This window comes from Homo sapiens, chromosome 15 (genome assembly GCF_000001405.40).
Source record: "Homo sapiens chromosome 15, GRCh38.p14 Primary Assembly".
Taxonomy (NCBI): domain Eukaryota; kingdom Metazoa; phylum Chordata; class Mammalia; order Primates; family Hominidae; genus Homo; species Homo sapiens.
The window spans coordinates 72,798,200-72,809,682 of record NC_000015.10 but is presented as its reverse complement, the minus strand read 5'-3'; the positions used below and the strand labels follow the sequence as shown (position 1 = coordinate 72,809,682).

General features: G+C 45.7%; 1 annotated feature.

Annotated features, from left to right (window-relative positions):
* Positions 1,601-2,497: an enhancer, noted in NCBI's record as "H3K27ac-H3K4me1 hESC enhancer chr15:73099527-73100423 (GRCh37/hg19 assembly coordinates)". NCBI's record gives its function as "activates a minimal SCP1, AML or CMV promoter by ChIP-STARR-seq in naive H9 embryonic stem cells {active_cell/tissue: H9 hESC(naive)}" and the evidence as "EXISTENCE:reporter gene assay evidence [ECO:0000049][PMID:30033119]".

Genomic DNA, 11,483 nt, shown 5'->3' with positions numbered 1-11,483 from the left:
GCAAGGAAGTAGAATAATCCATTTTTACAGGAAAAGATGTTCATGCTTCAATCGTCTAAGGGCAGTTCTGAAAACTAAAATAAGTCATAAGACATGCTGGCTGGGTGGCAGCTGGCTTCCCACAGACTGCGGGAAAAGGCGCTAACCACACCCTTCCCCTTCTCTTCAAGCCTACCCATCCATTTCTGTGTTAGTAAGCTGAGGGTGCCATGCTGATCCGTGTCAGGTAACACACTCCCTCCAATGTCTATTTCCACAGGGGTGGGCCTGAGAGCTGCTGACAGTAGAATTAAGCTGAGCCTTTAGTATCTAGCCTTTAGTGTAGTTTGCACCACACATTGCTATGGGACAAGCACAGTTATCATTCTTGTCCCCTTGAGTACAGAAAAATATGTCTTATGGACCGGGGCAGCCCCAGACAGAGCCTCACTTCAGGAAGGGACAACAGTACTCCTAGGAAGGGCTCACTTTAATGCCACCTGAACTGAGGGCTGTGGGTTAAAGCTCCCGGGGCCTGGGGTGAGAGTAGGCAGCAGTGGCTTGGAGTCCAGGCTTGTGGGGAGTAGCTGAGTCTCTGCCCCACCAGCAGGATGCAGATAGCTGTAAAGTGTCCTTTTCTCCAGAGCCATCAAGATCATTCTGAGACCTGGACTTTGCCTGAAATTTCACCCTTACCTGACTTCCTCCCCTTCCCTGTCCTGCTTCCCTGCTTCCTTGCCCTGTTTCTCTCGGGAGCACTTCCACAACAAATTGCTTGCATAAGAATCCTCATCTCAGGGTCTGCAACAGGGAACATGAGGACATTTTAACTACACATCCTAGTCTCACAGGGAGCAGACCTCAGTGAATGTATATTAGAACAGATGGGATTGGGTGGGAGAAAACAGGGTGGAAAGGGAGACGCTGTGTACAGACAGCTCTTTTGAGGGGCTTTGCTACAGAGGGGCTAAAAACTAACACGGTCATTGGAGAGAAATGAAAGTTGTATTATATTGCTATGTAACACAGAACCTCCCAAACTTAGCAGCTTAAATTTATTATCTCATAGTTTCTGAGGGTAACGAATGCTTCAGAGCAGTCCTGACTCAGTTTCTCAAAAGGTTGCCGTGAGAAACTCCAGCTGAGGCTGGAGGACCTGCTTCCAAACACTCACATGGTGGCTGGCCAGAGTCTTCAATTCCCCTCCACTTGGGCCTCTCCACAGGGCTGCTCATGATCCTGCTCCCCCAGTTTGAGTGATGAGAGAGATAGGTGTTTTGAAATGTGTAGGCAAGAACTGGGAAGGACATGCTGTTAATAGTTGCTAAAAGTCCTTAACTCATGGAAATGGGATTGAGGAGCACAGGCCTGTGAGGATGATGAAGGCAGACTTCCACATTCTATACTTCTGAATTCCCTTGTTATTTTAAAACATTAAAGGTGAAAGCTTAAGTGAATTGGCAGTAGTTGGTAATGAGTAAAGCTACATCTACTGGAAAAATATCAATGAGAAGGAGAGATGATAAGGGCAGGAAATTGGAATTGGGTCCTTAAAAAATGTAGGTGAGTCCCTCTCCCTCTCCCTCTCCCCCTCCCCCTCCCTCTCCCTCTCCCTCTCCCCACGGTCTCCCTCTCCCTCTCTTTCCACGGTCTCCCTCTGATGCCGAGCCAAAGCTGGACTGTACTGCTGCCATCTCGGCTCACTGCAACCTCCCTGCCTGATTCTCCTGCCTCAGCCTGCCAAGTGCCTGCGATTGCAGGCGCGCGCCGCCACGCCTGACTGGTTTTCGTATTTTTTTGGTGGAGACGGGATTTCGCTGTGTTGGCCGGGCTGGTCTCCAGCTCCTAACCGCGAGTGATCCGCCAGCCTCGGCCTCCCGAGGTGCTGGGATTGCAGACAGAGTCTGGTTCACTCAGTGCTCAATGGTGCCCAGGCTGGAGTGCAGTGGCGTGATCTCGGCTCGCTACAACCTCCACCACCCAGCCGCCTGCCTTGGCCCCCCAAAGTGCCGAGTGCAGCCTCTGCCCAGCCGCCACCCTGTCTGGGAAGTGAGGAGTGTCTCTGCCTGGCCGCCCATCGTCTGGGACGTGAGGAGCCCCTCTGCCTGGCTGCCCAGTCTGGAAAGTGAGGAGCGTCTCTGCCCGGCCGCCATCCCATCTAGGAAGTGAGGAGCGCCTCTTCCCCACTGCCATCCCATCTAGGAAGTGAGAAGCGTCTCTGCCCGGCCTCCCATCCTCTGAGATGTGGGGAGCGCCTCTGCCCCGCCACCCCATCTGGGATGTGAGGAGCGCCTCTGCCCGGCCGCGACCCCGTCTGGGAGGTGAGGAGTGTCTCTGCCCAGCCGCCCCGTCTGAGAAGTGAGGAGACCCTCCGCCTGGCAACTGCCCCGTCTGAGAAGTGAGGAGCCCCTCCGCCCGGCAGCCACCCCCTCTGGGAAGTGAGGAGCGTCTCCGCCCGGCAGCCACCCCGTCCGGGAGGGAGGTGGGGGGGTCAGCCCCCCGCCCGGCCAGCCGCCTCGTCCGGGAGGTGAGGGGCGCCTCTGCCCGGCCGCCCCTACTGGGAAGTGAGGAGCCCCTCTGCCCTGCCAGCCGCCCCGTCTAGGAGGGAGGTGGGGGGCCAGCCCCCTGCCCGGCCAGCCGCCCCGTCTGGGAGGTGAGGGGCGCCTCTGCCCAGCCGCCCCTACTGGGAAGTGAGGAGCCCCTCTGCCCAGCCAGCCGCCCCGTCCGGGAGGGAGGTGGGGGGGTCAGCCCCCCGCCCGGCCAGCCGCCCCGTCCAGGAGGTGAGGGGCGCCTCTGCCCGGCCGCCCCTACTGGGAAGTGAGGAGCCCCTCTGCCCGGCCACCACCCCATCTGGGAGGTGTACCCAACAGCTCATTGAGAACGGGCCATGATGACAATGGCGGTTTTGTGGAATAGAAAGGGGGGAAAGGTGGGGAAAAGATTGAGAAATCGGATGGTTGCCGTGTCTGTGTAGAAAGAAGTAGACATGGGAGACTTTTCATTTTGTTCGGTACTAAGAAAAATTCTTCTGCCTTGGGATCCTGTTGATCTGTGACCTTACCCCCAACCCTGTGCTCTCTGAAACATGTGCTGTGTCCACTCAGGGTTACATGGATTAAGGGCGGTGCAAGATGTGCTTTGTTAAACAGATGCTTGAAGGCAGCATGCTCGTTAAGAGTCATCACCACTCCCTAATCTCAAGTACCCAGGGACACAAACACTGCGGAAGGCCGCAGGGTCCTCTGCCTAGGAAAACCAGAGACCTTTGTTCACTTGTTTATCTGCTGACCTTCCCTCCACTATTGTCCTATGACCCTGCCAAATCCCCCTCTGCGAGAAACACCCAAGAATGATCAATAAAATAAATAAATAAATAAATAAATAAATAAAAATAAATAAATAAATAAAAAATGTAGGTGACAAAAAAAAGATACATGGATGATTTTAGAAACATGTATGATTTCCTGGGAGCACGTGGTAAGCTCTAGAACTGCTGCTGACCCCTGGCAGAGTGTGAATGGGAGTTCCTATCTCTGCTAAGAAATCCCAAGGCCTTCTGGGGAGCTGCCCCATCCTTTCTGTTCCCCCACCGCAGGGAGGCATCAGCTGTACGTGGACTCCCTGGTGCTGACAGCTTAGCCCAGGAGAGGTCCTGGCTGGGTGAAAGGCCACATCACATTCTCAGAGTTGACCCCCAGCTCAGAAGCTTCCTTTCTCGGCATGCATTCAAGGCCCCTCATCATACACTGATATGGGGCCCTCAGGAAGGAGAAGGGGCTGCAAGGCTGGTGGAAATGAAGGGGCCGTGGGGAGCTAGACTTGTATCAGGACAGTAAGAGAACAGAGAACTTGGCGTGAAATGAGAGCTGCATGGCACAGGCAAAAGTGCTCACACAGAGACTGAAAAAGACTGTGGGGCAGGATTCAGCCTCGTGGTTACCGGCACCACTCTTAGACAGAGGCAAGAGGGGGTCCCTACCCTGAATCTGGTGACTCCAGTGACTCGAAGCAGTCCTCCACAGAGAAGTGTGGTCGGTGGACCAGTGCCAGCCCACACGTGGTCTGTTACTTGTTCTTGATGAGTTACACACAGAAACTAACAGTAAGGTTATATCTGTTGAATCTTTAAAACTTGGGGCTTGTAACTTGTATAGATTTTTTTTTTTTTTTTTTTTTGAGACAGAGTCTCACTCTATCGCCCAGGCTGGAGGGCAGTGGTGTGATCCTGGCTCACTGCAGCAGCCTCCTGGGTTCAAGCGTTTCTCCTACCTCAGCCTCCCGAGTAGCTGTGATTACAGGAACCCACCACCACGCCTGGCTAATTTTTGTATTTTTAGTAGAGATGGGGTTTCACCATATTGGCCAGGCTGGTCTCAAACTCCTGACCTCAAATCATCCACCCACCTCAGCCTCCCAAAGTACTGGGACAGGCGTGAGTCACCCCACAGGTCCTCATATAGATTTTTTTTAATTTCATTTTTCTAGTGAATTATTTCTAGTGAATTATTGAATCAAATAATTGATCTGTATTGGGTTGGGAAATTAAAAACTAATAATTAGAAACTAAGAAGCCCTACTTGAAAAGGTTGCATATATCACAAACACCCATAAAATGTATTGGTTATGGAGCACATGGGATCGAGTGCTCAGCGCTGGCATAGCGCTGCTGGCAACAGAAACGTCAGTTCCAATGACAACACCGGTCAGGTCCCAGGGAAATGCGGCTCCTCACCTTTTGCCCTGTGTCCTCAAAACAGAAAGCAACCATGTCTGAACGTCACGGAGGTTTCTGGGTTGTGCTTCCGCCAATATTGGAGACAGACACTGCTTCAGAGAACAGGGAGGATTTGAGTGGCGGAAGCACTTAGGTAAGGGAAAAGACAAATTTATTAGCTTGTCAAATCCTTTATCTCTGATAGCAAGAACGCAATCGTTTCTTGCACAGTGAAATACCATTTCCCAGTAGGGCCACACGTCCATTTTCATGTTTCTCTTTGTGCTCCAGTTCGTGGTTCAGGAGGTCTCATGAATTAGTGTGGTATTGATTGTTGTACAGTGGCTGAGGAACATGTGTGCAATATGAACACTTTATTTTACCTTCAAATCAGTAGAGGTATAAGTGTAGATGTAATATGTACGAAGCTATTCTTCATGTTAGTGCATAAACTATTACCTTAAAAGATAGCAAAAATTGCAGTATGATAGAAATTTCTATTATGAAGTTAAAATATTTTGTAGTATTTTCTGCAATAATTACAGTTTACCTAACACAACTCTACTAAAGTATTTGAACAGGATATGTAAAATTCATGGTTCATTTCCAAATGTAAACATCGTTTTAAGATTTTAATGAAAATTCCATTTATTCCTGAAACTTTCTCCAAATTGAAATTAATTTTTTTAATTATCTAAGAATTACAACTCAAAAAAGGTAGTCTAATTTGGCGTCATCATCAATAAAACACAAATTGTGCAAAAATCTTGATTATAACAACATAATTAGGTAATTTTGCAATAAGGAAGGTAAGAAAAACAAATCTAATGAAAAGATAAATAATAATTTGAATGATTTACAATATAAATTTGGTATATGCTGACTTTATAACTTACCAAAACATCACCAGCCCATCAACAGAATATCCAAATAGATGCACACATAATTAAATTCTGTCATCTTTACTATTTTACCAATTTTTGTTCATATAAAAATCGTAGTGCTATACTTTTTAAAAATTTTGATCTTAAGAGGGCATATTTTTCAAGACAGAAAGATGGAACTTTTTATCTAATAGTTTATTGGCCTAGTTTATGATTTTAAATATTTATACATATGCTACGGGGGCTTTCACTTAGTGTTAAAGGCCTGCTTAGGGCTACCTTCCTAAGCTAGGCCAGGGCTGCCCAACAACTGACCGAATGTTAGGGAATTGACTCTATATTTTAATTCACCTAAGAGAGAGCAATTTTTAGGTAGACAGAGATATGACAAACACAAACTTCAGAAGAGAGGCATGATTTTTAGAAATAATTATTTGCAATTGATTCCATGTCTCCTTTGTTCTTCAGTTAGTAGAGATATTTGCCTGCCTTTGGCTTAAGAAAGCCATTTTAAATGAGACCCGCAGTGGGTGTCAATAAGAGCTACCTCTGTGATCCTTTGTTGATGTCACTTCTTTGATACTGGAGGGATAGGAACTGAGTCCCGCCAAGAGGGGACATGGGAATGTCTGAACTCTAAATAGTCACTTCTCCAAAGCCTGCTCTGGAATCAATGCTACTAGCTCAGGCTAGGAGGAAGAGGGCTTCTCATCATCCATGACTCTGCCCACCCCACTCCCAGACCACCCCCTCCAGATGTGAAGACCTCCTGTGAACCAGCAAGAGTTTACCCCAGCCCTCTAGACTGTGAGCCTCAAGGGAAAGTACCACCATTTATACCATTTCCCTGCTGAGAGGCACAGGCTTTGTTTTCTGTGTGTGTGCATGTGTGTGCATGCATGCACACCACGAATGCACCTCTGCAATCAATGCTGCAATAACCACCCTTCTACATGGACCCTTAGGTGGATCCTTCTATTTCTGTGGAATAGATTCCCAGGAGTGGGATCACTAGGTCAAAGGATATATGTATTTTTAATTCTAATGGATTTTTCCAGATTGATTGCAAAAAGGCTGTAATAATTTACATCTCCACCAGCAATGAATGAGAGCATGCTCCCCACAACCTCACACACAATACCTATAGAAACTCTTTTTAATTTTGCCAGCCTGAAGAGCATAAATGAGTATCTTATTACTACTTTAATTTGCATTCAACTGAATTCTAATGAATCTGAGCATCTTTCCATCAGTTGGATATTTTTCTTCTTTGAATCACCTACTCATATCATTTTGCCTATTTCATTATTGGATTGTTTGTCTTTTCGCATCAATTTATAAGAGTTTTTTGCATACTATAGGTATTAGCCTTTGTCCATCATCTGCATTACACTTTTTCCAAGTCTGCTTGTCTTTTGACATTGCTTACAGTATCTTTTCCCACAAAAATGCTATATATATGTGTGTGTATGTATATGTATATATATGCAAAAATACCTTTTTCATCTTCTAGGTTTCCAACCTTGGTTGAGAAGGTATTCTAACCTTAGATTATATGATGCCTCCTTGCCAAAATTTTTATTGAGATATATGTATGAAATAATGCACATCTTTTTATGGATCAATAAATTTTCACGAGGTGAACACACTCATGTAGCCAGGACTGAAATCAGGAAACAGAATCTTACCAGTACCCTAGACATTCCTTCAGTTCACACCCCCTTGCCAGTCACAACCGTCCTCAAAGATTAACCTCTACCCTGACTTCTAACATCGTAGGTTAGTGTTTGAACATTATTTAAATGAAATATCCATGTGTACTCTTTTGTATCTAGCTTCTTTGACTCAGCATTATGTTTGTGAGATGAATTCATGTAGTTCATTCATTCTCGTTGCTGTGCAGCAGTCCTGTATGTAACATACCACACTTTATGTTTTACTGTTGATAGACGTTTGGGTTGCTTCCAATTTGGGGCTATTACAAATAGTGCTGCTATGAACATTCTTGCAAACTTTCTTTGGTGAATTTATGTCTGCATTTCTGTTGAGTATTTACCCAAGAGTGTAATTTTTGGGTCATAGAGAACGTGTATGTTCAGCTTTTGTGGATATTGCCAGTCATCCAAAGTGGCCGTTATCAATTACACTCTCACCAGTAATGTAAGAGACTTCTAGCTGCTCTACACCCACCCCAATACTTTCTATCATCTGACGTTTGCATTTTAGCTACTCTGGCAGGTACACGCTAATGTTGCATTGTGGCTTGTCTTGACAGATAGTTAACATTTTATTTTTTACATTTTTAAGCCCTTAATCCCTCTGGAATTTTATCTTTGTATATGGCTAGAGATAGGGGTTCACTCTGGTTCTCTTCCAGGCAAACAGCCAGATGTGTTAGACTAAATACTATGTCCTTTGTCCTGATATGTTTTGAGGTATAAGTGAGCATTTGCCAGGTACAGTGGAGTGGGAGAGAACATTCCAGGCTGCAGGAGCTGCACAAGCAAAGGTACGGAGGCACGAAGTATCACGATGTGTGCAGGAGATTGCATGAGTGTGGTGAAAATTAAAAACGTGTGGCCGTGAGTGGCACAGGAGGGCAGGCAGGACTGGACTTTGCCATTCTCACGGTGGTACACAGGCACAAGGCTGCTGCTGAATGGACACACTAAAGGAAAAAAGACTCCCTCCTCCTCTAATGTTTGGGGATGTTCTTTGAGATCCTCATTTTGAAAAGGTGTCATTATCAAAACGTCACCCTTAAGAGAGGGAACTTCTGTGTTGACTGAGACGCTTATTAAGATCCATGATACGTATTGTTTAATTTACTCATCACAATGACTTCATGATGTGGGCGTTGTTTCCCTTGATTTACAGATAAGGGAATGAGGTACAGAAAAATTAAGCAGCTTGCCCTTGGACACATAGCCAGTAAGTGGCAGAATTAAGGATGAAACAGCCTGTTCCTCTTCCTGTGTTCCCGCTCTTTCCCCTAGATGCACTGCCAGTAGATGCATGAATTGAACTTCCAGCCACTTCCCAAATAATGCACATGTGATGAAGCAGAGATTTACAATCCTTGCATCAGCCCCTGCCAGCAGACCTCTTGATGTCTGTTTCCTTTTCCCCAGTCACACAGAGAGGTTGATTCCTTGGGAAACTGAATGACTGTTGCAGGCAGCAATTGTTCCTTCAGCTGAAAGGCATGCAGAGTCAGACCAGGGTGGCTGGCTTCGGCCCATGGGCAAGTTTATGGGTCCGCAGAGAGAAGGCAGCCTCTGTCCTCTATCCCTTTCCCATATGCAGTTCTTGGTTACAGAAAATCCAGTTGCTCTTCTTTTCCCAACTGGGAGAGATCTCTGTATCCTACAGTAAACTTCTTGGTAACCTGGGCTCTCCTGAGTAGGTCTCTGATCCTCAAGGAAGGGAAAGGTAAACACTCACTAACATGAACATCGGCAGTCAGACACACATCACACACACAGAGGTGGCACACAAGCTACACACTGACACAGAGCGGAGACAAACACACACTTGCAGAGAATCTGCCTCCTGGAATATGAGAGCTCAGGGAATCTGTCAAGATCAAGGGTTTTCGAACTATGCCGCGTGAGTTTTTCTGCAAAGGGAAGTCACAGAAAATAATGAAGCAATTTCCCACCAAAGGGAATATTGTAACAGCTAGAGATAATTGTAGAAAAGTACACTGAAATTATGAGGTGTCATTTTCCCTCTATCAGACTGGCTAAGATTTAGAAGTTTGATAATACACAACGTAGGCGGGGGTGTAAAGATACAGCATGTAGCAGAAAAAGTAAATGATTGCAATTCCAGGGAAGAGAGCTCAGCAAGATATATCAAAATGTTAAATGCAGCTACCCTTAAACCTAATGATTCCACTCCTAAAAAGTTTACACAAACACACACACACACACACACACACACACAATACTGATTAAGGAGGTTCATTGTAGCATTTGTTTATATTACCATAAAATTAGAAACAACTAAAAAAAGTCTGTTAATAGAAGCCTAGCCAAATAAGTTAAGGGGCAGCCATACCATGGAACACTCTTAATCACTTAAAATGCTGAGGTGGACCTCTATGTTCTGACATCAGAAGATATCCACAATGTATTTTATCCTGTTTGTGTTTTTAAAAATATATGTTTGCAGCTGGGCGTGGTGGCTCATGCCTATAATCCCAGCACTTTGGGAGACCAAGGTGGGTGGATCACTTGAGGTCAGGAGTTCGAGATCAGCCTGGCCAATATGGTGAAACCCCATCGCTACTAAAAATACAAAAAATTAGCCAGGCGTGGTGGTGGGTGCCTGTAATCTCAGCTACTCAGGAGGCTGAGGCAGGAGAATTGCTTGAACCAGGGAAGTGGAGACTGCAGTGAGCCGAGATCACACCATTGCACTCCAGCCTGGGCGACAGAGCAAGACTCCATCTCAAAAAAAAAAAAAAATATATATATATATATGTGTGTGTGTGTGTGTGTGTGTGTGCGCGCGAGCGCGCGTGTGTATGTGTGTCTTTGTGTGTGTGTATGTGTGTGTGTGTGTTTGCTATGTGCAGCAGCTCACGCCTGTAATCTCATCACTTTGGGAGGATCACTTGAGCCCAGGAGTTCTAGACCAGCCTAGGCAACATGGTGAAACCCCAAAAATTAGCCAGGTGCGGTGGTGTGTACCTGTAATCCCAACTACTCGGGAGGCTGAGGTGGAAGGATAGCTTGAGCCCAGGAGGTAGAGGTTGCAATGAGCGGAGATTGGGCCACTACACTCCAGCCTGGGTGACAGAGCCAGACCCTGTCTCAAAAAATATATGTATATGTTTGTATATATCCATAGAGTGTCTATCGGGTACATAAGAAACTGTTAAAGTAGGTGGCTCTGGAGAATGAGAAGGGGACAGGGAGAAAGGGCAAGGGAAGGGAAACAAATGTTTCACTTAACTTTCTGTACTATTTGACATCTTTACGGTAAGCATATATTAACTGTATAATACATTATTTTAACCCTCTGAGATGTTAAAAAAAATATATTCGGGTCAAGTGCAGTGGCTTACGCCTGTAATTCCAGCACTTTGGGAGGCCAAGGTGGGCAGATAGCTTGAACTCAGGAGTTCTAGGCCAGCCTAGGCCACATGGCGAAACGCCATCTCCACAAAAAATACAAAAATTATTTCTGGGTGTGGTGCCATGCACCTGTACTCCCAGCTACCTGGCAGGCTAAGGTGGGAGGATCATCTGAGTTTGGGGAGGTCAAGGCTGCAGTCAGCTGAGATCATGCCACTGCACTCCAACCTGGGCGACAGAGTGAGATCCTATCTCAAAAAATAGAAAATTAAAAATTAAAAAATAAAGTATCTATCTATTAGATATATAGATAGATATTAGGGTTTGCTGTTACATTTCACTTAGAAAGAGAGTTCCGCCACTAAAAAGTTTGAAAAACCTTTATGCAACTCAAGCCTGTTGTATAAGTGGCCAGGAAAAATTGTGAAAGACTTTTGAAATGGGGAGAAAATGTACCCTATGGAATGCAGGCCTGGTGTGCCCTTCCAGGTTATGTCATTCTATGGTAGTCTCCATTTTTCATTGTCTTTGAATCTGTAAACTGTAGAAAACTGAAAATAATACAAATTATTATTGTCCATGGCAATGCAAACAAGTTTTGTCAGGTGGAGATGCAAGTGATCCCCCACCCCCCACCCCACCCCCCGCCAAACACACACACACACACACACACACACACACACACACACACTGTGGATGAAGCCAGTTTTGTATCAATTAACAAACTTATTTCATTATTTCTGATGCCAGTGTGTGTATCTGGCCTTTGTGTTGTCCTTTGAATCAGTTTTTAACTTCATTAACTAATGAGTTAAATAAAAT